This window comes from Homo sapiens, chromosome 1, assembly GCF_000001405.40.
Source record: "Homo sapiens chromosome 1, GRCh38.p14 Primary Assembly".
NCBI lineage: Eukaryota > Metazoa > Chordata > Mammalia > Primates > Hominidae > Homo > Homo sapiens.
The window spans coordinates 149,337,727-149,364,549 of record NC_000001.11 but is presented as its reverse complement, the minus strand read 5'-3'; the positions used below and the strand labels follow the sequence as shown (position 1 = coordinate 149,364,549).

Sequence of the window (26,823 nt, the reverse complement as noted above, 5' to 3'; positions counted from 1 at the left end):
ATGACCATGTGGTTTTTGTTTTTAGTTGTTTATGTGATGAATCACATTTATTGATTTGCATATGTTGAACCAAACTTGCATCCCAGGGATAAAGCTTGCTTGATTGTGGTGGATTCGTTTTTGACATGCTGCTGGGCTTGGTTTGCTAGTCCAGCAAATTGAGTCATTGAGGATTTTTGCATCTATGTTCCTCAAAGTTATCCATATTCAGAACTCTATTTTTGTCATGTCAGCCTGGTTAAGAACCACTGTTGGGGAAATAGTGCAGTTGCTTGAAGGTAAGAAGGCACTCTGGCTTTTTGAGTTGCCAGAGTTCTTGTGCTGGTTCTCACCTGTGTGGTCTGATGTTGCTTCAACCTTTGAAGTTGCTGTTTCTTGGATAGGTTTTTCTGCTTTTGTCTTCTTTGATGCCCTTGGGGGTCTGAATGTTGCATATAATGGGCTCAGCCAAGTGGCCTCATTTCTGGAAGATTGTAGGGGCCAAGGCTGAGCTCAGCACTCATGAGCTGTGTATTCTAACTCTGAGGAGGCTGGTACTGGACCTCTGGCTTTGTTTTCTAGCCCCTCAAGGTTAGGAGCCTAGCAGGTGTCTTAAACTGTTTTCTGTTGCGATAATAGAACACCTGAGAGTGGGTAACTTATTAAAAAGAGTTTTATTTAGCACTTGGTTCTGTTGGCTGGGAAATTCAGGATCAGGCAGCTGTATCTGGTGGGTTCTCATGACTGCCTCATGCTGCATCAAAACATCATAGAGAAACAGAAGGGGACCGAGTTTGTGCAAACAAAAAGTGCAAAATAGAAGAGGCAGCATTGTTTTATAACAACTCACTCTCTTGGGAACTAACCATTCCCAGGAGAACCCAGTCTCAGTGTCAAGAGAAAGATGTTAATCCATCTTAGCAACCTAATTACCTCTTAAAAGTAGCATCTTCCAACACTATTACATTGGCAATTGAACTACAACGTGAGTTTTGGAGGGGCCAAACAACATCCAAACCATAGCAGCAGGTTTAAAGGCAAAAGGATGGGAGAAAAGTACACAGAAAGATATTCTGGAGAAAAGGCACAGAGTGAGCCAAGGCACAAGGTAAAATGTTTGACTGGTTAGAGACGCTAGATTATTTTGTGTGGCTAAGACAAAACAAAGCTGGTGGGGAGTGGCAGGAGGTAAGTCTAGAATGGCACAATGGGGCCAGACTGCGAATGGCAAACTGAAGTATGTGATCTTTTATTCTAAAGAAAATGTAGTATGATTAGCACAAAAAAAAGAAAAATTATTGGCCGGGCGCAGTGGCCCATGCCTGTAATCCCAGCACTTTGGGAGGCCGAGGAGGGTGGATCATGAGGTCAGGAGTTCAAGACGGTGAAACTCCATCTCTACTAAAAACACAAAAATTAGCCAGGAGCTGTGGCAGGTGCCTGTAATCCCAGCTACTCAGTAGGCTGAGGCAGGAGAATCACTTGAACCCGGGAGGTGGAGGTTGCAGTGAGCTGAGATCGCGCCACTGCACTCTAGCCTGGGCGACAGAGCAAGACTAAAAATAAAAATGAAAAAATTATTATCCATGGTATTATCATGGTAGTACTGACTAAAAGAGGGACACGTGTAACAAAATCAGTAAGGAGGGTACTCCAAGAATCCATGTTAAAGTTAATGAGGGCTCGAACCCAAACATAAAGGATGGAAATGATGTAATAAAACCCCACCTTTTGAAAGTTATATTTAAAAATTTTTGGTTAATAGTCTAGTTAGAGGTGAAAGAAGAAAGCAGAGGAGTCTAATGCAATGCGTGACTTGTAGCTCAGGTAAAGGGGTGGCAGGTGACGCTTAAATACTAGAAATATAAGAAGAAGCACAGGTTTGGTTTTATCTGTGAGAACAATGGAGTGGAGGTATGCTTTAGATGCAATTATTTATGGGATATTCAAAACAGATATCTATGAAGCAAAAAACTTGGGCCCAAAAAACAAGTTTGAAGGTATATTTGGGAGTTACCAGTAATATAGGTAACTGTTGAAGCTCTAAATATAGAAGACAAACTAGAGGAGCTTGTTTCTTGAAGAATTCTTGTCACACTTGACATTTTTTACAGAGATTTCTTAAAACAGGGGCATATCTTCTTTGGCTAACATATGCAGACTAAAATGAAAGAGTATAGTATATTATAAAATCAATAAAAGGTAAGATAAATTGAGGCCTAAAAATAAAGAATAAATACACTCAGTTGATTCTGAAGCTCTAATTTACAGATGCAAAATTGTACCAGTACATTAACTCATATGTCAAAACAACATCTAGAGAAACAAAAAATGAAAGTAAAATGGAAAAAGATAAAAGAAGAGAGGCAAGGAGAAGAGAATGGGCAAAAGGAGATAGGAAAAACAGGAATTTTTTTTTAAAGGGCTAAAATTTTAGTGAATCAGATGTGGAAAACAGTTGGATTAACATTGAGATCAAATGAGAAAGGAGCAAATAAGGAAAGATGTATTACAAACCAAGAGTAAAAAAGGGAAAACAAAATAACAAAAGCAAAAACTATTTAAAAAGAATAAAGGAAGACGTGATAATGAAGTAAATTTAAAAAGTACGGAATAATAAAAAGAAATTGCAAAAAATACCTTTTGAAAATAAACATACTAATAACTTGACAATAAAGTGAAATGTGTAAGACAAACATATCTGTGTCATTATTTAGGAGTAGTGAAAAGTACTCTTAAATAATAATTTGGTATCTAGCAGGCCTGGATTTGAATCTACTTTAACTTGCTAGCTATGTGACCTTGGGCAAGCAAAGAAACTCCTCATAACCATTGTAATAATACCACCAAAATGCCTTACACTTACGGCTCAAAAAATGAAGGAAATGAGAGAAAAAAGTATAGATTACTATATGGAAGTCAAATTTCTAGTGACTTTTCTAATCCAAACATGAATTGTTACAGTACTTGAAATAAACTTTATGAGAACTGAGTGACTACATTGCTTCAGATAGTTTTATACTGCTAGGTCAACGCTGCCTGACAGTAATAAGAACAGGATGTGGGATTCAATATGCTCATTCTATCTCAAACTCTGTCACACATACAATGACTGCTATTTACCTTCCTCCTGAGCCATCTGGGAAAAAACCAACCAACCAAACAAACAAACAAAAGAAAAACCCACCAGGTAGGAGTCAGTTAGTTCTGCTAACTAACTAACCAAAAACCTTAATTGTATGGCCACCAGCACCCTAGCCCTTTGTCATGAAAGCTACCAATAAGGTGGAAATTTAAAATATGAAATATTTCATTATACATGTTTTATTAAACCCTACATGTGCAGAAATGATTGTCCATTTTCCTTCTTAACTTGCTTTTGTAAGACTTATTAAGTAGAAAATATAAATCTCAAGCTCCTTAAATGTGATTTTGAGGAACTGAGACCAAAACAATTTTTTGCTGTGGAACCAGATCCTTGAATGCACTACAGGAAAATATTATTTGATATGAAATTTTTTTGGTACACACAATTTTTCAAAAATATATCTCTCTCCACAAAGTTAATTCAAATTGTAGAATTCTTCCAAGTCACAAATGGAGTTTTCAAGGCTCTGGGTACTTACCTTTGAGTTCCACATCCTTTATCTCTGGAGCTCTTAACTGAGGGAACATGGACCATTAGGTCATGAACAGACTTTGTAGTCTTTGAACAGCCTGAAACAGTATGTGATACTTGATGTGCATGTACACAGGAACATTTTTCTAGAGTAATGGCACATACCTTTCATCAGATTTTCAAAGGTTTCTCAAAATGCTCAAGAACCACTGTTAGATATTTAAATAACCAGAGTGTACAGTGTCCAAATATTTCCAAATTTTGACACTTGTAAGATGTCTTAATTAAAACAAGCCATGAAGTTCAGCGTCACAATAACCAGAAAAGCACTTGTGAGAGTAGTTCTATGTCTTTACTTCCTAGTGGTTTACACACTCTTTAACCCATATGGCAATCTGGCTTCTGTCTCCGGTGCTCTGGAATTACTTCTGCCTGTATGATTAAGTTCCTCATTGTTAAATTCGAAAATACATTCTTTGGTATTTATTTGACCTCTTGGTGGTAATATAGTGTAAGAGCACAGACTCTGGAGCCAAACTGCCTAGGTTCAAATCTTAGCTCTATTACTTTCTAACTCTGTGACTTTGGGCAAATGACTTAACTCTCTCATGCCTCAAAGCAGAATCCTTTGTAAGGTTTATTTATATAGTGGTGTAAAGAGTACTTACTTCAAAAGCTTTGGTCAGTGTGAGAAATAAGCTCCTAACAAAGAAAGTGTTATGTAATAGTTATTATCTGGTACCTCTGATCACATCATTTTTGAAAATCACTTGAAATCTGCCTAAGTTTCATTCTGCCTTTGATGGCTCCTTATTTTCATCTCCCTACTTCAGGCTTCCTCCCTAATATATCTTTTATGCCAATATTATGATCACTTGAAACTATAAATCTGATGCCATCCTTGGCCACTACCATTAAGATGGTCTAAACTCCTCAGCATGATAGACAAGTCCCTTTATGATAGTGTACCCATCTAGTTCTCATTCCTCAAGTCTCCTCTGTTGTCTATGCTTACCCTATGGGCTAAGCTGAATCAAGCTGTTACATTTCCAAAACATGCCTCACTGTCTTTATTCATGCCTTTGCACATGCCATTGACTCTTCCTAGAATGCCCCATTCTCCTTCTCTAGAAAGTCTTCTCTTAACATACTTCTTCCCAAAATAAATTAGGTGTCCTTTCTTAATATGCCTCCAATAACCCCATACAGTATTTATCCCATTCTATTTTAGATGCCAGTTTGGTTGATGATACATTTCATCTAGTCAGATCTTCCCACTGCCTCTTATAAAGAAAACCAGGAGCCATATTATGATATTCTTGTTCTCTAATTTTTCTGCTGCCCTGATCTTAAACCACTTTCTTCTCCCTTTGTTGACAATTACCCCACCCCTTATTTCTTAATTAGCTCAACAAGATTAGATAGAAATGTATCTACAAAGGATATATGTATATAAATTAACTAGATAACAAAACTTCACACTGAAGTGAACATTCTACAAGTATTTCTTTCATTGCTGACCATTAGGTTGCAGCATGCAACTCTCAACAATGAGCTGCCCCTCTCCACTCCTATAGAAGCTCCAAATACTATGGTACCACTATGTAGGTTTTCAGCCTTTCAAAGGCTTTTATTATGAACTTCATCATTACTTCAGCAGGAGCCTTTTAGGGACTTAAAAGCACTGATTATCTATAAAAAGTAACTTCATATTTCATGCACAAAATTCCCAATTGGCAGATTTAGGTCCATAAAAGAAAGGAAAAAAATTATTCTAGCTATATAAATTATCAGGAATAAAATAGCATTTCTCCTTGCCTTGTTATAAGGAAATAATATATTTTTCCTTACCAGGAATCAGGATAGTATCTTTGATGATCCCTCAGGGTTATAAAATTGCTTACTGGTTAAAGTTTTTTGCCAAAGATATTAAGAAATAAAAAGTTCGCTCATTTTCCTGTGCAATTTAAAGAAATATTTGCAGTATGTACAGGAATTTTAAGTTATATTGCAGACCCTGGCAATAATATTTAAAAGGCCTATTTTCCCCATTAAAAAATTTACCCCATTAAAAAAGGTAAAAGGAAATCTCCATCATCCCTGAGCAGAAAAGGAAAAAATCATGGGTACTTTAATTAGTTAATAGAAACCACTGTAAATGAGTTATCTATCTCCAGAACATTCTCAGAGAATTTACACGAACTAAAACAGGAATGAAGTGCTCTCAGAGACTTTTTCTCAGGTAAATGTATTTAGTAGTTTGAGTAGTTGATCTGCAGAAACTTTAACTTTAATTAACTACATAGATGAATATTTTTTATTTTGAAATTTGAGAATGTCCTAAGAGGATGTCTACAGGATATGAAACTACTGGGTGCAGGAAAATTTTTTAAGTGTTAGCAAATTGTGGCAAGAGGAAAACAAACAGCGGAGAAAACTGTGGTAGAGAAAGTAAAGAAGGGGCAGGAGAAAGCTGTAATTATAACCTGGGCCTGCCTTTGTTCTCATGAAGCCAGGGGCCTCTCCATATCCTATACTTGCTCTTACACTAATAACAAACCAAATGCTGCAAAATAAAAGTAATAATGACCCAAACTAATTTAAGTCTTTTGTTTAAGGAGTAAATGAGAGAAACATTTTAGCTTCTTAATCAAGGAGTGCTATAATTTCAAGGCATCTTAATATAATTCACTTACCCTAAAGCAATTGTGCAATAAGCAAATTATAAAAGGAAAACAACAAAGGTTAACTTTCTACAGGGGCCAATAGACAAGATCTGTGGAGCACAGCAATTAACCTTCACATACTGGAGTCTTGTTTAAAAGGCCATCAAAAACTCAGATTACTGAAAATCACAAATGTCACCAACAAAAGGAATGTTGATTAGAGTCAAAAAAAAACAAAAAAACAAAAAAACAAAAAAAAAAAAACACCTTCCCAAAGGACTGCCTTCTTTGAAGGAATTTCAGAATGTTGCTAGCACAGGTTGACTAAGTTAAATCTCATTGATGGCTCCATCAGAGAATGAGAATGCCCAGCCAGTGCTGTTTTTAAAATGCACTGGGAGGGAAAAAACGAAATAACAATCTACTATTCCCTAATATATATGGCTTGGCACCCAGAGAAAGCCTCTGCCCCCGAAAGAGACTTTCTACATAGGGTTAAGCTTCATTAAATGAGGTGCAACCTTTCATTTTCAGGACATCTCTTTTCTTGCAAGGTCTTTAGAGGCAGAAGTTCCACTTGGATTCTAATACACATCTCTGTGAGCTCAGTTTCCTGAAAATATACACCTACTGGGTTCTAGGTTCTCCCTTACCAGTGACTGTATTCATTATTTCACAGCCACCAGAATCGGACATACACTATTAACATGATGAAAAATACAGCTACTGCTGCAAGTTTGGCATAAGTGGAATGCATGTTCAAGTACTTCGCATCCTGGCGGTATTTCTTGGACAGACTGGACAAATTGTTAGCCTTTGAATCCAATGCTGTCAAAGAGGAAAAAAGGAAAACATTAATTAGTCCCTGGAAGTATTTTACCGAAAGTATTAAGGCATTAAAAATAACCAAAATGAGCAGCACTGCAACAACCATGAATCTTAAATCATCATTTTTATTTTGAGGCTAACATTGCATATACTAATTAACTGATGATGCTGATCAGATTATGTCTGAATTTTTGAGGCTATATAGTAAGGTGGTTAGAAGTGCAGGTTCTGGCCTCAGACTCTTTGGTTCAGATATCACCTGTACAAGTTATGTGACATTGGTCAAGTCATGTAACCTATTTAAAACCTAGTTTCTTCATCTATAATTGGGGATAATAACAGTAACTATGTCATAAAGTTGTATGTACATGAGATTGCCTGTAAAGTGAGCAACAATGCCTGCACATGATAAATTATAATAATTATTACATGTTAATAATTATTATCTTCATAATCTTCTAATGGTCTGAATCATATTCTCTTATATTTTGAAAAACGATAATGATAATCCATGTAAAACAAACTCAGATAACCAGAAAATTCAATTAACCAAACACAGTCTTAAGCTATACTTCAATGATGACTGCTAACATTTCTAAGATTCTCCACATAGTAGAGACTACTACGAAGTTAAAGCTATCAGGATTTATATTTCAATAGACATAGGAAAGTTGTAACTAAAATACAATAAGTACTACAAAAAAAAACGCAAGTAAATTAAGCTTTTTAGTATTTTCTGGCAAGTTTTTTCACCCCCAAGGACATTTGTAATGTTGTTATCTTCTTATAACAGTTAACTAAACACTTAGAGAAATAGCCAGATAGACACAAGCTAGACCATATTAAAATATAGGGCATATTTTAATAATAAACACAAACTCTCCATTTGACATAATAAATTCTGATCAAACTTTTCACTTCTTGAAATTTCAGAAAAAACTATTTTGCAATCCGGCTGTTTCTTCCTTAAAGAATGCTTTTGGAATATTTGGAGTTGCTTAATAGAGACTGGTTTTGATTGGGAAACATGGCGTTACTTAATAACACAGGCATGACAGCCACGTCTGAATTAGCAACTGATCACATGAGTAAGAAAAACATCTAGTGACGGAAGAAGAGTCAGGGACTGAGAAATAACCATGACAATGCACAGGGCATCTTTTTACAGAGCCTACAAGAATATACACTTCACTGGACAGGGATTTTAAATTATTGTGTTTGCTGCTATATCCTGAATGCCCAGAACAGGGCCTGGTATATAGTTAGTGCTCAATAAACATTTGCTAAATGAATCTAAATCTGCTGAGAATAACTCAGCAGAGGAACAATTATTAGACCCTATGAAACAAGTCATAGTTGAGAGAATTTATATATGAACGTTTTGAAATACAGGATAACATAAAGACAAAGCTATTGCTTGGAGAAGTCATTTAACAAATATTTATGTGACAGGCACCATGTGAAGTGCTGAGGATACAACAGTGATCAAAATATACATGATCCCTGCCTTTAAGGAATTTAGAGTCTTGCATGAGTGATACAAGAAAAATTCCTGTGCTAGTCTACTTTATCCCATATAGGAATTGCAAGTCTGTATGACAAAACCTTACACACTCACTCACTCAAAATTTGGTATTTAAAGAGTGTGAAGGTAAATGAATAACTGCTCACTACTCAAAAAAAGGTTAAAGTTTGTAGTTCATAATAAAAGAAAACTCACTTACTAATGAATATATAGCATGGCTGAATTCAAAAATACTTATTAAGGAACCTATTTGTGACCATTTCTGTGGGGGATATATAAGGAGTATGTGAAACAGATATAAAATACATAAGCACTATCTTTAAAGAGCTTACATGTCCACATTAAACACTTAGGTAATATTGAAATATCAGGTAAATATACATATACTTTTAACCTAATTTTACCTAATTACCTACACTTTTAAAATTATATAAAGGGCTGGGTGTTGTGGCTCATGCCTGTAATCCCAGCACTTTGGGAAGCTGAAGTGAGTGGATTGCTTGAGCCCTGGAGTTTGTGACCAGCCGGAACAACATGGCAAAACCCCATCTCTACTAAGAAAATACAAAAATTAGCCAGGCGTGGTGGCACATGCCTGTAGCCCCAGCTACTCAGGAGGATAAGGTGGGAAGATCGCTTGAACCCAGGAGATGGAGGTTGCAGTGAGCCAAGATCGTGCCATTGCGCTCCAGCCTGGGCAACAGAACAAGACTCTGTCTCAAAAAAATATATGAAATTATATAAAAATATTTAATTATCCAAATATGTTTGCCTACTTTAATATAAATATATGAAACATATACTTATGTTATATGGAAATATATTTAATATATATTAAATATATATTTAATATGGTAAGAGGTATTTAATAAATATATTTAAGGTAAATTAGGTAAACACACATACATGTAATATGTGCTAAAACCATTATGTTACTAAGTGCTTTAGGAGTTTAAAGGACAGAAGAGATTAATGTGATACAGGCTATAAGGATCAGAGAAAGGTTCTTTAAAGAGACAGTTCTTATGGAGGTCTTACATACAGAACAGGTCCAGCATAAGGCAGTATTCTGTTCTAAGGACCACTAAGGATAGTAAAGAAGCTGGTGTGGCTACAGAAGAATGTTTGTGAACTAGAGAATGACAGACATTTGCATCTTCCTTATTTTCCATATGTAGAGCACAACGCCTTACAAATAACAAGCTCTCAATAACAATGGCTGACTGACGGAAAAATAAGTCAGACTGGATCTTATCTTGTAGTCCCAGATTTAAAAGTTTTTCAGAGAGGAATGCTTTGATGAAAATGGCATTTTATAAAGATTGATCTGGCAGCAGTAAAGTCTCCCAAAGAGGCTACTCAAAAAACCACTGCAATACATTGTTGAGTTTTCTCTCATTCATTTCCCTTAATTTATACAAGTTATATAATTTAATTAATTTTGTGAATATCTTAGAAATAATCATTGCTTCTAATATGGATGAGTCCTTTACACTGTTCCAACTCAACAAAAACTAATCATGCTAGGAAAAAAAATATATTGGAAGCATTGTAATGTAATGTACTTCTGGGAGATAAATTCTTAACAGTTCTAGGTAGAATCTAATAGCATAAAAGGCACTGCAAAATAAGCTATCCTTGTCTATGGAATGAGAACCATTTCTTCATAAGACTCATTGCTTTTAGATACCTGAGAGTGCTTCTCCTCGTTGTAACACTTCTTCGATATTGGCCACCATGATCCTCTGCACATCTTGCAATTCAGTGTTGATGGAGCCTAGGTTTCTTCGAGCACAACTGTCAATGTAGAGCTTCTTGGTTTTCTGAATGAAAGTATCTAGAATGATGAAGAAAACTGACCATTTCTTTCATGGCCATCAAAGTACTGAGGTAGGAAATTAAAAGTTCTGAGTTGGCCAGGCACGGTGGCTCACACCTGTAATCCCAGCACTTTGGGAGGCCAAGGCAGGTGAATCATGAGGTCAGGAAATCGAGACCATCCTGGCTAACACAGTGAAACCCCGTCTCTACTAAAAATATAAAAAGTTAGCCAGGCGTGGCGGCACACGCCTATAATCCCAGCTACTCAGGAGGCTGAGCCAGGAGAATCACTTGAACTTGGGAGGCAGAGGTTGCACTGAGCTGAGATCACACCACCACACTTTAGCCTGGGTGACAGAGCAAGACTCTGTCTCAAAAACAAAAACAAAAAAACCAAAACAGTTCTGTCTTTATTCCTGGATTTGCCACTGTCCATGGTTAACCAAACTCTTGGTTGAATATCAAAATCTAGGCTTTGATTATTTCATTTGTAAGATGTAAAGGTATAATTAGACGACCATTCAGGAGAAATGTCCTTTGAATACCTTTAAATTAGAAGTATTTGCTATCTAAGGCTGCTATCAGAATCCTTAGAGAAATTAAGACCCACTATAGTAAGCCTTTCCTGAAAACAGAAATTTTCAAACAGTATTCTGAGGACCCTTAGGCTAAGTGTTACTTACCTCTACACATTCCTTAAAAGGATGCTGGTAACACTCTAGCATTATTACAGCCTAACATGGCAAAAGGGCTCATGATCATTAAAAAGCTGAGAAACTTTACCTTATTTTCTCTAATATACATTCCCAGTTTCATTCCATTCTTAAACCTCAGGTAAAGCAAGTATGTAATAGGGAGTTTTCCAAAATACCAATATAAAACTGAACTGAAGTCTCGGCCAGGTACTGTGTCTCACACGTATAAATCCCAGCATTTTGGGAGGCCAAGATGGGTGGATCACTTGAGGCCAGGAATTCGAGACCAGCCTGGCCAACAAGGCAAAACTCCCATCTCTACCAAAATTACCGAAATTAGCTAGCTGGTCATGGCAGCGTGCACCTCTAGTCCCAGCTATTCAGGAGGCTGAGGCACAAGAATCACTTGAACCTAGGAGGCAGAGGTTGCAGTTAGCCAAAATCATGCCACTGCACCCCAGCCTGGGCAATAGAGCGAGACTCTGTCTCTAAGTAAATAAATAAATAAATAAATAAAAACTGAAGTCTCATCCATCTTTTGCTCATATCAGTATTTCTCAAAACTATAGGAAGAACGACTTATTATTAAAGATATTTTCAACATTTGGCAAAAATCTTAATTTAAGTGTGCTGTACCCCTTTCATTTGCCTCTTTAGATCTCCTCTCTGCCCTCCTGCACCTTGCTTTCTGCACTGGGAAGCTGACTTGGATGAAGCGCCTCAATAGACTCCTTGCTCTGTGCCAGTTAGGTTCAGGCAATGAAGAAGCCCCAACAGTAGGGAAGAAGGAGAACAGACAGTGAGTGATGTCCGGGTATTTATTCCCCTGGCTTCTTTCAGAGAAGGAAATAACCTTCTTCTGGAAGTATCCCTCTACCAAAAGTTACGCTCCTCTCAAGTTGGCCTTCTCTAGAAATTTTCTCCTTTTCAGTTTCAGAAACTGCTCCTCCCCCTTATACATTCAGGCCTAGGGATGGTAACAACCAGTATGCTACTGGTCAGAGGTTACTGTACCTTGTAATTCTCCTACAGCCTAGTCATATCTTTGTATATAATCCCTTAAGCTAATTTGGGTGTGCCATCTGTTTCCTGTATGACCCTGATACATTTGTCTTCTTTTTGAGGGAGGTTTATGGGAGTATTACTGTCTATAAAAATAAAATTTGAAAAACTGGACATTATATAAAGCAGCACTTGGAGAGTATATAGTTATGAAACACTAGAGTGTTTTTCCAAAGCAAGATGACCCATTTATCTAGCAAACTTGAAACACTTCAAAAATTCTAAGCCAGTAAAACCAATTTCTCTTTTAACTAAAAATTGCAGCGATATAGCCTGATCCTACTTGTTCTCACTCCCTGTACTTACTGTACTTAGGACATTTCCTTTGATCCCTTACCATCAGATACTTTACCAGGTCTGATTAGTAATTGGTCTTTCTATAATTCTTGTACAAATACAGACACCTATGCTCACCATTCCTGAATGTAGTAAATATTATACCCCAATACCATGAGTACCAGGTATCTTCTATTTCTTTGTTCTGTTTTGTTTTTTTAATTAGAGGATCTTATTCTACTAAAAGAAACAAAACATCATTCTTTCTGATTTCCCAATTCTGATCTCCATAAAATGAGCCTTATTGTGAGTGTGAGTCTGTGGACTGGGGTAAAGAAGAACTCAGCCATTATATGCCAATCAAGTAGATCTTTAGCAAAGTTCCTGTCACATGTGACTCTAAAGAAGAATCAAACCAAATAACAGAAAGGGCAAAAGGCAACAATTTCTATGGAGGAAAGATCAAAAGACTAGAGAAAATTACTTTTCAGAACAAAGCCTTAGTCACTCAAAAAGACAAAAAGAAGTGGAATGGAAAAGGAAGCAGAAGCTAAAACTTCAGCAAGTAAACATCAGAAAAAATGTATAAATATTATATCAGTGTAACAAATAGCTTCTCCATATTGTTTGCTCCCTTGATAGAGAGAAGTGAGGGGCAAAAACTTACCAAATTCAATAAAGGAATAGGGTCGGGACACAGTGGGCACCTTCTTTCCATGCTGTTCATCAAATTCTGAGTGCAAATCTTCTAGGTAGGCAAAAGCCAACGTCTTAGGGAAGGCAGCTTCACATAAAACCAAATCACACACCCCCTGCTCAATAATGTAGCTGGTGAGACATAAAAAGCAAGACAAAGTTGTCTGTAAAGTAATAGCACTGACAACAGTTTAAAGCAGAATCTCTGTACCATGCAAACTTTTTTAAAAATCTAGCCTAAATACTTTGAGGCTGGCTAAACGAGAGTCAATTTAAAACCGCAAATCCTTGGAATCAGAAAGCAAACATCTTCCCATTATTAGATGTATATTCTTTTTTTTTTGTTTTTGGTTTTTTTTTTTCTTTTTTTTTGAGACGGAGTCTCGCTCTGCCCCCGGGCTGGAGTGCAGTGGCATTATCTCGGCTCACTGCAACCTCCGCCTCCCGGGTTCAAGCCATTCTCCTGCCTCAACCTCCCGAGCAGCTGGGACTACAGGCGTGCGCCACTATGCCCAGCTAATTTTTGTATTTTTAGTAGAGACGGGGTTTCACCACGTTAGTTGGCCAGGATGGTCTTGATATCTTGACCTCGTGATCCGCCCGCCTCAGCCTCCCAAAGTGCTGGGATTACAGGCGTGAGCCACTGCACCCAGCCTATTAGCCGTATATTCTAAAAGGAGTATTTAGACATATTTATTATAATTTTTCATCCATTAGATTCTCTTTTTTTTTTTTTTTTTTTGAGACAGGGCTCTTTCGATCACCCAGATTACCCAGGCTGGAATGCAGTGGCATGATCTCAGTTACAGCAATCTCCGCCTCCCAGGTTCAGGTGATTCTCACGCCTCAGCTTCACAAATAGCTGGGATTACAGACACCCACCACCACACCCAGCTAATTTTTGTATTTTTAGTAGAGATGGGGTTTCACCATTTTGGCCAGGCTGGTCTGAAACTCGTGACCTCAATCGATCCACCCAATTCAGTCTCCCAAAGTGCTGAGATTACAGGTGTAAGCCACTGGACCCAGCCCATTACACAATTCTTCAACTAACATTTTAAACTTTTATTTTAGCTTGAGGATGTATATGTGCGGGTTTGTTACCTGGGTATATTGCATAATGCCGAGGTTTGGGGTACAAACAATCCCGTCACCCAAGTACTAAGCATACTACCTAATAGTTTTTCAACCCCTGCCCCCTCCTTCCCTCCTCTTCTAGTAAGTCCTCAGTATATTTATGTCCATGAGTGCCCAATGTTTAGCTTATAAACTTATAAATGAGAATATACAGTATTTAGTTTTCTGTTCCTGCATTAATTCACTTAGGTAATGACTTCCAGCTCCATCCATGTTGCTGCAAAAGACATGATTTCATTTCTTTTTATGACTGCATAGTATTCCATACTGAATATATACTACGTTTTCTTTATCCAATCCACCACTAACATGTACCTAGTTGATATCTTTGCTATTGTGAATAGTGCTGCAATGAATATGCAAGTGCATGATTTTTGGTAGAAAGATTTGTTTCCTTTTGGATATAAACCCATTAATGGGTTTGCTGGGTCTAATGGTAGTTCTGTTTTAAGTTCTTTGAAAAATCTCTAAACTGCTTTCCACAGTGGCTGAATTTACATTCCCACGAACAGTGTATAAGCAATTCCTTTTTCTCCACAGCCTCATCAGCATCTGTTGTTTTCTGACTTTTTAATAATAGCCCTGTGACTGTTGTGAGATGGTATCTTATTGTGGTTTTGATTTGCATTTCTCCAATAATTAGTGATGTGCATTTTTTCATTAGTTTGCTAGCCTCTAGTATGTTTTGAGAAATATCTGCTCATGTCTTTTGTCCATTTTTTAAATGGGGTTATTTGTTTTTTGCTTAATACTTAAGACTTTTTCCTGAAAAATTCAGAGTTGTGACTCCATCCACCCTTTGATTCTATATGGTAAACTAGCATACACATATTTAAACTCTTTCCAGCCACAAAGGAAAACACTGTAACTGGAAATTTCTGTGGATAGAAATGTAAGGTTAATGACATAATGTTTACTGGGTACAAGACTAATAAGACTCCTTAATTTACAGTCCAGGAGGACTCTGTAATCAACTGGAAACTTTTCAACAATGGAACTGACTTTCTTTTGTGATGATGAGCGCCCATGCACTCTGGAAGGGGCTATATGATTACACATCTGAGAAATTCTTAGAAAAATGTTAGGCTACTAAGTGGTTTTCCAACTTCTTTTTAGCCATAGTATACACACACACACATGCAAATATATATATTTATATATGGAATATGTATATATAACAAGCAAAACTTATATTCAGAAGGCCAATGTATATATCAGATAAAATCAGAGGTTCTTTAGTTTAAGTAGGAGTTTGCAAATATTTTCTCCCATTGTGCAAGTTGTCTCTTCACTGTGTTGTTTCCTTTGCTGTGCAGAAGCTTTTAGTTTAATACAGTCCCATTTGTCTACTTTCTTTTCTGTTGCCTATGCTTTGAAGTCTTTTCCATAAAGTCTTCGCCCAGGTTCATGTCCTGAAGCATTTCCCCTATGTTTTCTTCTAGTAGTTTTATAGTTTAGGGTCTTATGCTTAAGTCTTTAATCTACTTTAAGTTGATTTTTGTATATGATGAGATAGGGATCTAGTTTCATTCATCTGATGAGGAACTAATATCCAGAACATACGAGGAACTCAAACAACTCAACAGCAAAACCAAAAATAATTCAATTAAAAAGTAGGCAAGGAACAGAATTGACATTTCTCAAAAGACATGCGAATGGCCAAGTATATGAAAAAATGCTCAACATCACTAATCTTCAGGTAAATGCAAATAAAAACCACAACGACATATTATTTCACCCCAGTTAAAATGTCTATTAAAAAGACAAAAGTCAATAAATGCTGTTGAGGATGAAGAGAAAAGAGAACTTTTATACACTATGGAAAACAGTATGGAGGTTTCTCAAAAAACTAAAAACAGAACTACCATACAATCTAGCAATCCCACTGCTGGGTATTTCTCCAAAGGAAAAAAACTCATTATGTTAAAAACTTATCTGTACCCCCATGTTTACGGCAGCACCATTCATAATATCTATGGATAGATAATCAAGAGAAATGTCCATCAAGAGAATAATGGATTTTAAAAGTGTTTTTTACACACACACACACACACACACACACACCATGGAATACTATTCAGCCATAAAAAAGAATGAATTTCTATCATTAGCAGCAACATGGATAAATCTGGAGGACATTACGTTAAATAAAATCAGTCATGCACAGAAAGATAAATATGGCATGTTCTCATTCATATGTAGGAGCCAAAAAAAATTTTTGAGCTCATGGAAGTAGAGAGTAGAATTGTGGGTATTAGAAGTAGGGAAAGGTAGAGAGAAGGGGAGGATGGGCAGAGGCAAGTTAATGGATAAAAAATTACAACTGGATAGGAAGAATGAGTTCTGGTGTTCTGCAGAACTGTAGGGTAAATATGGCTAGCTATAACTTACCACGTATTTTCAAAAAGCTACAAGATTTTGAATGTTCACAACACAAAGAAATGATAAATGTTTGAGGTGATGAATATGCTAATTACTCTGATTTGATTACACATTGTATACATGTATTGAAATATCACTCTGTATCCCATAAATATGTATAATTATTACATGTCAACTGAAAATAAAAGGAAAAAATTTAAAACATAAGGAGGAGTTTAGGGGCCCAAAGCATTATATATACTCCCATCCTTGCCCTTTCTATGTGGCTCCTGAGGCATCCTAGGGCTCCATAAAGGATAAAGACTATTATATGATCTCTCAGGTCCCTTAAAATAATATTAATAATACAGCTGTCTTATTCCTTGCTTGGGCACCTGAGTTAACTGGTCTCTTTGCTTTTAGTCTACACCATCTTCTATACCATCAGTTTTATTCCCAGAGACTACAGATGACCATATTACCCTGCTTACAAACTCTAAGGGTTCCCTAATACCTACAAAATAAAATCATACTCCATGGTATTATATTTACAGCCTTTCAAAACAAGTGTAAGCAACATTCTATCATATATTTTAATAAACCAAATGGCGGACTGTTTTCCAACATGCTAGGTTCTTTACATATTTGTGGACTTCTGCTTATATTGTTTTTTCTAACCATTAATGCTCTTTTAAATACCTGGAGAAATCCTGTTCATTTCCATATGTTCAATTCTACCATAATTTTTTCTGTGAAACTTCTTTAAATATACTCCCCTCCTCTGTCCCGTTTCTTCAAACTTACCCCCTACAAATGGGAATTTGTTCCTTCCTTCTCTCTGTTCCCAAAACATTTCATTTAAATCTAATTTACAACATCTTTTCAATGAAGATATTATAGTATACTTGTTTGAGTATATGTCTCTCTCTGTACTAAGAGAACAGTGTTAAAAGGTATGGACATTAAATGCAGGACTCAATATAAGGTCCGGCAAAGAATAAACCCTTAATAGCTCTTGGATGGAAATAAAGGATGATATGAGATTATGAATGTCCTAAAGGAATCAGGCAGAAGAAAATCTCTTCTCAGTTCCATGAGAACTTTCCTAGGTCTTGGTTCTCTAAACCATGGTGAAAATGAGGATACTAGATATTAAGTGAGTGACTATTTTTGGTGTTGAAAATTAGAGTTCTAGAAAATATTTCAGATATTATAAAAATTAATACATCATAAAACATAATGTCCAACATTTTCTTAGCCAATTGCCTAGGGTTTTATTTTTGTTTTGATGTACTTTTTACTTGTCTTTTATAGGTAGAGAATTTTTGTTTTGTTTTTTAAAAGTAAACATAGCAGCTTCCTCCCTGGCCTAAGTTATCTTACTATCTAAGTCCCTAAAATAGCAAAGATTATTTAACTAATCCGTTTTTATTTTCCTCTGATGCTCTTGTACTCTTTTCCTTTTTAATCCTTCCCATTTTGTCAGCTTCAAACTTGGCATGTATTAAACATTAAATACCAATTATTTGTAGATAATTTAAAATCCAATAATGTTCCTTTGAGTCCTCTATCAGCTGTATCGTTTATAACCACTGATTAAGATGCTCTTATCTTTTATAATTTTCTTTTTTCAAAATAATAATAACTAATAATTATTGACCCTTCCCATGTGTGTCAGACAAGATGCTAAGTAATACACACGGATTCCCTCACAATCCTCTCAAACCTCCTATGTTTATTTTCACTACTTTATAGAGGAAACTGAGGCTTAGAGAAGTTATGTGAGCTGCTCAAAGTTACACTGTTAGGAAATGTTTGAGCAAGGGTACTAACCTACACATATCTGGCTCCAAGACAGTCCTAAAGCAAGAAGTTATCTATTATTGCATGATGGGCACAGCATAGACACATGTTAACAGGTTAAATTACTGTAAGCATGCTGAAAAAACCAACAAGATGTCCATTTTGTAGAATTAGAGCCAGAGAAGTTGCTCCTCCCAAAAGACAACATTTTTAAGTAATCTTTACTTTTTAAAAATTATTATTTTTTATCAGGCATTCTGTTACTGTATTTCACACTTAAATGATCATAAAGAAATCAAGATTACACTCACTGAAAAGTCATGGCTCCTGCTTCCAAGGTACATCTGGTAGGGGACTGTTCATTCAACTTTCGAAAGAGTTACTTAGCCTGACTCTGATACTGTTGAAGGTCCCGGCCAGACTGAAAGAAGACATCTTCATTTAAGAATTTTCCACAAAATGCTGTATCAATTAGTGAGAAGCACCATATTATGAGGACACTCTGAATGAGGTCCTTCATTTACAGGTAAGTAAGATTCATTTTAACGGAGGAAAGACAACCTACTTTCAGAGTACAGAGGAAGACCTAACCCCTACTTCTTCAAGATGATCGCATTAGTTATTTGCTAAGAAGCAAAAGCATATACCTCAAATACACTTAAGCACTCCTAACTTTCAATCCAGTCTTCTTTCCACTATTAGGACAGTACTCTCCTCCTAACCCATTTCATTTGCAGTTATTGGCACAGAACTACACAGCATGTGCTATACTCAGGGGAATATCCTAGGAACAAGATTGGTGAATTTCATTTTTATGTTGGAATATCCAGCAGAACCTTCCACAAGTGTTACAGTTTTTAGCATTTAAACAAAACTAAATGTGTGTACTAGTGACTGCAAATTATTATGAACACTTTGACTGCAATTACATAAAAATGACCAAGGGTAGAGACAAAGATTAGCATGTCAGATACCCTTTACTGAAGAAATCTATTTGGTTCCCAAGTTTGGACAGCAAAAGTTTGAATATCGAGGGATATATGCAGACAAAAATGAAAATAATAGCATTCACATGTTATAATTACAGGTAATATTTTCCTGAACAATTTCTAACTGCTTTTACAATTATTTTTGTTAAAAAGAGGGGGCAAATCTACTGGAAAAACCAGCAGTGTCATTTCAAAAGAAGAAAACCATGCATCTCCAATCTACTAGATCCAACAGGGAAAGGAAGTGCCTGAAGAATGGGAAGCAAATAGACATTGTTTTTCCATCCACATGTGGGGTAGGGGAGCTTTCTGCCAGCTACCCAGCTATAGTCTGAATGTTTGCTGGTATCCCCCACAAAATTCATGTTGAAATCCTAACCCCCCAAAGTGATGGTATTAAGAAGTGGGACCTTTGGGAGGTGATTAAGTCATGAGGGTAGAGCCCTCATGAATGCGACTAGTACCTTTATAAAAGAGACCCCAGAGGGCTAGCTTGCTCCATCCACCATGTGAGGAAACAGCCAGAAGGTGACATCTATGAACCAGGAATAGGCCCTCAATAGTCACCAAATCTGCTGGTGCTTGATCTTCACCTTGCAGAACTAGAAAAATCAATTTCTGTCATTTATAAGCCACCCAATTTATGGTATTTTGTATAGTAACCCAGACTAGGACACTGCCATGTGATGCAAAGAAATAATCCTATTTTGGAATTATTTATTTTACATAGAAAGAATAGCCTCCCTTTGGCAGATGTTTAATAACTAAATATTTAAGTAGAAAAGTATTTATGCTAGGGTCTCCCAGGATCTGAGGTCTAACTTTGATAAAGTACAAAGTGATATCTTAAAATTGTAGATAGTGTACTGCTAAGCTGATAATAAAAACAAGGAAGCAACAATAAAATGATAAAGTGGCAGATCAGCAAATGTACAATTACAGGATAATAAGATTCTAAGCTATATGTAAAAATGGTGAACTGGAAATTTCAGTATGAATAAGAAGGTGAATAAGCATGAGGTGAACCAGGGGAGATAGGCAGAGTCCAGTCGAGGTATTAGTTTGTAGATTTATCTTGTTTAATACCACTGTTATGGCAATTATTTGTTTTATTGACATATATTTGTTATATATTTGAGAAATAGTTCTATATTAACATATGTATGTCTGTATGTATGTACAGTTTTATATATTAAACAGTACTTTATAATAATTATATCAAAATTATCATATTAAACAGTACTACTAATATATGGCCAGCCAGTAAGAGTGAATACTGTCATATGCTTTTAGCCAATAAGAACTAGTGCCCAATATTCTATTTTCCTAAATTTGAATGGTACTTACCAATCTTTTTGTTTCCCCAGTGCCATTCTGAAGAGATCTGAACCCACAAGAGTAGATAAAAAGCATGCAAATAATGTTGGGAATGCTACTCAAGTGCCAAGAAAGAATATCAACATAGATCGGTGATTTTCAACCTTGGCTTCACAATAGAATCATTTGGGGAAATCTCAAAAACAAAACTACTTATGCCCAGTCTCCACCACCAAACCAATTAAGTCAGCATCTTGGAGGTGGGGCTGTGACATCGGTATTTTTTACATAACTGCAACCACAGGTGTTAAATATATGTTCTTTGCTAAAGGCAGGTGAGAATCTTAAAAGGACTAGTTGAAGAAACATGGAAAAAATTGCCACTCAGATTGGTACAAATCCTTTGACTTTACAAGAGGCACTGTAAACATTACTGTAACCTGAGAAAAAGACTAACAACTGTATCAACTATAAGAAACTGGCCAAAAGCATTCTGCAATTTCAGGAATTTGCAAACAGCAATGTAAAGACTGCCAATATACAACACTGGGGATGTATTTATAGGGATTATGGTATGCCAACCAACACCTTACCATGCTGGTTCAGTTAGCATTACCATCCTTGAGAACACAATGCTAGCACAATCTTCATGGTTAAATAATAATCTTTCTGGCATATTCATACAATGGAATACTATGCAGCCATTAAAACAATGCTGTATAGAGTTTAATGATATGAGAAAATATTCATTAAACACTGTTAAGTGGAAAAAATTAGGTGAAACAGTCTTACGGTATTACCTATTATTTAATGTTATACACACATACATATGTTTAAGGTCATCCACCAAAATGGATATAATTTGAGTACAGATTATAGTTAATAAACACTGTTAACATTTTGGTCATTTTGCTTTTATGTATTTACTGAACTTTCTATAATACGCACAAATTAATTTTGTAATGTGAAAAATCATTCATTCATTACATATTTGCATCCAGTGTATCGATTATGTGCAGTTCTGATCTGTGAACCTTTAAGAAAGGCAAGATGAGGCTGGGTATGGGGGTTCACGCCTGTAATCCCAGTACTTTGCGAGGCCAAGGCAGGTGGATCATGAGGTCAGGAGTTCAAGATCAGACTGGCCAAGATGCTGAAACCCCATCTCAACTAAAAATACAAAAATTAGCCGGGTAGGGTTGCAGGTGCCTGTAATCCCAGCTACTCGGGAGGCTGAAGCAGGAGAATCGTTTGAACCTGGGGACCGGAGGTTGCAGTAAGCTGAGATCACACCACTGCACTCTAGCCTGGGCAACAGAGTGAGACTCCATCTCAAAAAAAAAAAAAAAAGAAAGGCAAGATGGAATTAGAAAAGATTCTTCAGAAATGATCAAATGAAATTATTAAGTGTTCACTTTCTGCCAGCCACTGTTCTGAACACTTTACATTATTTAACTCGTTTATTCTTCATGAGGTGATTAGAATTATTATGTCAATTTTTTACTTGAGAAGTCAAACTTTTTAGCCTCTAAGCTAAAAAGGGAGGAACTAGGATCTGAATGCAGGCAATCTGGCCCTGGAGCCCCTACTCCTAAGCATTATGCTACCCTAACTCTATAATTGAAATTGTTTCAATAGTAGATCCACCTTTTAGGTGAAGTCTTACTATGTAATTCTAACTCATTGGAAATGCTCAAGAAACCATGGGGCAGCTCTGATCTAGATCTCACAAAACAACCTAACCACTGTTTTACATACTGACCTTTAGTTTGCTTTCAAGATCAAAGTCACAAAGGGCCCACAGTTAGCCAGTCCACCTAAAAATATTTAGATATCCTCATTGTGTTTTCTACTTCATCTAGAAAAGATTAATGAAATTTGTATATGATATAATTATGAGATATCTATTAGTAATCCAATAATGCAGTGGATCAGAATAACTGGAAAAACTGTGAAACAAATTTGAGGTTATCCAACAGCAAATGTAGGATTTGGATCTATATATTACAAAAGATAGAAGGTAGTAACTTGACACACAACCGCAATACTTTTCGTTGCTGTCACCTAAGACTGCTGAACAACTAGTTGTATCAATAACAACTTTTGCCTTCATAGCTCTTATCATTTTCATAGCTGAGTTCAGTGGGTATCAATACCCACTGAACTCAGCTGGTCAAAGACCAGCAGCACCAAGAACCAACCACTTTCCTCTAAAAGCAGTTACAGTAAGTGGATTAATCAACCCTCAGTGATTGGGAGCGTGAGACAATTTAACTGTATAACATGTTATCTATCTGCTTTCTTGGAGCTTCCTGCTGCCTATTTGGTGAGATCTAACACTTTCTTCAAGTCTGGACTGCCCTTCACGATGCCAGAGGAAAATGAAAGAAAATACAATAATTTTGAGGCAGAACAGAAAGGTAGATAAAGAAATTGCAAAAATCCTAAAAGGAGAAACATGCCATAAAAGGAATGAGGAAAAAAGATAAACAGGGTATCAGTTAGGGAGTCCACATTTGAGAAGAAAAGCTCATCTCTCTTCCTGCCCTAAGTCTAAATTTTCAGTTAAACACAGAGGAAACACCCTGTATAAAATACTCTGTCTACATTATTTTGTAAATTTTACTCTCTATTGTATTATCTGAATAACTGTCCATCTTCGGTAATATGGCAGCTTGTACAGGCACCTAGTAAATACCTAAAATATGATATCTATTATCAGTGTAAATACTGAAAGTACACTGATAAGAAAACAAAAACATACAAAAATGAAAATACATTGAATTATCTGGCCTGGACAATTAAGGTGATTAAATATAAAACTGTTTGGTTGAGATATCTGTTTATTAAAAAGTTATTCCTGGACTCCTAAGAGGTAAGACATCATTAAAAGGCCTTAGAACAAGGCAGTAAAGTACAGTGGTTAGGCACTAAAGTACAGTGGTTATTAAGTTTTTGTCTGAGTCGACAAAAACTTAATAAAAACCACTGGGTCTCAATTGGGGTGATTTTGCCCCCATGAGACATTTAGCAATGTCTAGAAATATTTTTGTCGTCATACAAACAAACAAAGTGGGGAAGGGTAGTGGTACTACTGGCATCTAGAGGGTAGAGGCCAGGAATATTGCTGGACCTCCTACACAATATACAGAACAGTCCCCAAGAACAAATAATTATCCATCCCCAAATGTCAACAGTGCCAAGGGGAAAAACCCTGATGAAAAATTTCATTATGCCACTTATTAGCTGTGAATTTAGGCAAGTGATCTATCCTCTCTAAGCCTCAGAGCTTCCTTATCTATTATTGGAGATTTTAATAGTACCTGTTCTAATATGGTAGTATGAGGATTAAATAAAAAAATGAATTTAATAGGCTTAGCACAGTGTTTGGTATGTAGTAGGTGCTTTTATAAATGTTCTGTATACTATTAAAATAGTAAAAGTAAGCCTAAGATTCAGATCTTTACAGACATTAAAAGTTTAGGCAAACTTTATTATTCAAAGTCAAAATTCCTAAAGGAAAATACTATGGCACTACAATCACAAAAATATTTGTGTGTAAAATTTCTTTCCTTGTCAATTAAACAAAGCATCCCATCTTGATAAACCAATATGAAATCAATACCAAATTTATAATTAAAAAACAATAAATCAATTAATTTTTCAATAAAGTATCATGGCAGAGAGTAGGGGCCACTAATATTAAGTAGACTTTCAAGTTCACTTTGTATTCTTTGCTAACACTGGAATTCAATGCAATAATTTAAAAATTGACCAGATTCCATCCCCCCTACCCCCAACACACAGCCACCCACTGTAGGAAAACTATTTTTTAGTCAAACTACACATCCTTCAAGGATATTCCCCTGCACTATCTACTTTGTTCAAATCATATTCCTAGGTTCATTTGAACAATTACACTCCTTCTGCAGGATGGTCCTAGAGTATTCCTGAAAAACATTTCACATTAGCAAATCGGGGTATGTTAAATTGTTCACGGTTTATTTCAAAGATTAGACTTTGTTTTTATGTAATGAATAGAATATATTTCACTTAGCATGACCTGCAACTTTATTATCTGTATCACCACTCTCCTAAAAGTGAAAGTAACTATATTTCCAAATCAAACCTAAAAAGGCATATAACCAAATAGAATAATAGTTCCTTACTACTGGATCCTACTGTTACCTTAGTGTCATACCTTCTGGGAAGACTTTCCTGATTTCCTAAAACCAACTTAGATATATTTTCCATGTTCAAGCACAAAACCCTCTTCCTTCTCCTTAGCAGTTAAACTACATTTTAATAGTTTGTTGGTTATCTGATTTTTCCACTAGACTGTAAGCTCCACAAAGGTAGAGACTGTGTACTCTAACTCCCTGCATTAACACTATGCCTGGCACATTTGATGTGCTCAGTAAAAATTTTTTGCATTAATATATGAATGAAAAGTCCAACAGAAGAAATGTGCAAACTATTTTTTCAATATCTCATCTTTTTTTAAGGCTCAAGGTTTTACTTAGACTGTATGGAAAAGTAAAATAAAATTGATCACTTTAAACAAATTATATAAATTCCATTCTCAGCTTTGTCTTCAGAACCTCCCAAGCTTGCTCCAGAAACTTGTCTTACTTCAGAAATTTCCACTGCGTTTCTAAAACACAAAACAGCTTTCTTTTAAGACATCTGGAATTAGTGCTGTTTTTAATCAATTCAGTATACTTTTGAGCACCTACCAGCATAAAGCAGCTATCGTAAAAGGTATGGATAACAAAGAGATGATTAAGACCCGTCGTTTGCCCGCTAGGAAACTCAAGTTATTGAAAGACAAAGAAAAAAATAAGTTACAATGTATTGCAGGAATGTGGTACGGCGTATTGGAGAAGGTGGGAACTGGGGATAATCCTGAAAGAATGTGATGTACTGAACTTTTAACAGGTGCCACTGTATCTGGACCAATATCTATCGATCTGGACTGCATGCATCAGTATGGCTGTACCAGCTATTAAAATACTGGAACATTTCTTACAGATTAGTAAAAAAGCTATTGCCCTGAGCATCCCCTTCTTGAGCCCCTTCTACCCCAACAACATGCAAACGCTTAAGATTCCTGCTCCCCACAGTTCTGCCAGATTCCATTGTCTTTGGCGGTTTTCCATGTTAGTCATTTTGAAAAGCTTCGCCTCCAGGCATGGCCATTAGCTACCCCCAGGGAATTAGAACGACCCCCGCCTTCCGCCCTGGCGCCTGCCCTCCGGCCACGCCTCCGGTGGGCTGCAGGGCGTAGGCCCTGGTGGGGGTTGGGAAGCAGCGCCCCAGGCAGGTTTACTGACACCATCTGCACTGGTGATTAAACACGAGTTATTTTGAATTACCATCCCTGATTAAACCTCCTCACAGTGCGAGCTGCGTGAAGGCAGGACTTTTCTTTATTCTTGAATTTTCACAGCCCTTAGCTGTGTCCTCCGCACAGTGCATCCAGTCAGAGAAGTGAAAGTGAAGGGTTAGAGGGGAAGGGGGAATGAGCCGGAAAGAACAAGGTGCGCTTTGGAAGTCCCGTGAAAGCCTCTGTTTAAAATAATTACGACTTTGGCCGGGCGCAGTGGCTCACGCCTGTAATCCCTGCACTCCGGAAGGCCGAGGCGGGTGGATCACTTGAGGTCAGGAGTTCGAGACCAGCCTGGCCAAAATGACGAAACCCCGTCTCTACTAAAAATACAAAAATTAACCAGGTGTGGTGGCGGGCGCCTGTAATCCTAGACACTAGGGAGGCTGAGGCAGTAGAATTGCTAGAACCCAGGGGGCGGAGGTTGCTGTGAGACGAGATTGCGCGCCACTGCACCCTAACCTGGGTGACAGAGCAAGACTCCGTCTCAAAAAAAAAAAAAATTATGACTTTAAATAGCCTATTTCAAATATCAAGCCACAGCAAAGCTATCTCTTGCCTTCTAGAGGAAGCTATTTCATGAAACTGTAATACTTCTTCCAACATGTCTGTCTGGTTTCCCTACTTTGTCAGGAAAGCCTAGCAGAGAGCAGGCCCAGCTGG

At 36.7% G+C, this 26,823-nt stretch overlaps 1 pseudogene across 1 annotated transcript; it reads right to left on the bottom strand.

Annotated features, from left to right (window-relative positions):
- Positions 1-634: 634 nt before the first annotated feature.
- Positions 635-26,267, bottom strand: SEC22B2P (SEC22 homolog B2, pseudogene; annotated as a pseudogene). The gene is made up of 5 exons (NR_158171.1): positions 26,150-26,267; positions 18,780-18,889; positions 13,139-13,299; positions 10,308-10,454; positions 635-7,092 (listed from the first exon to the last, which is right to left on the bottom strand). The product of NR_158171.1 is annotated as an SEC22 homolog B2, pseudogene (transcript).
- Positions 26,268-26,823: the final 556 nt, after the last annotated feature.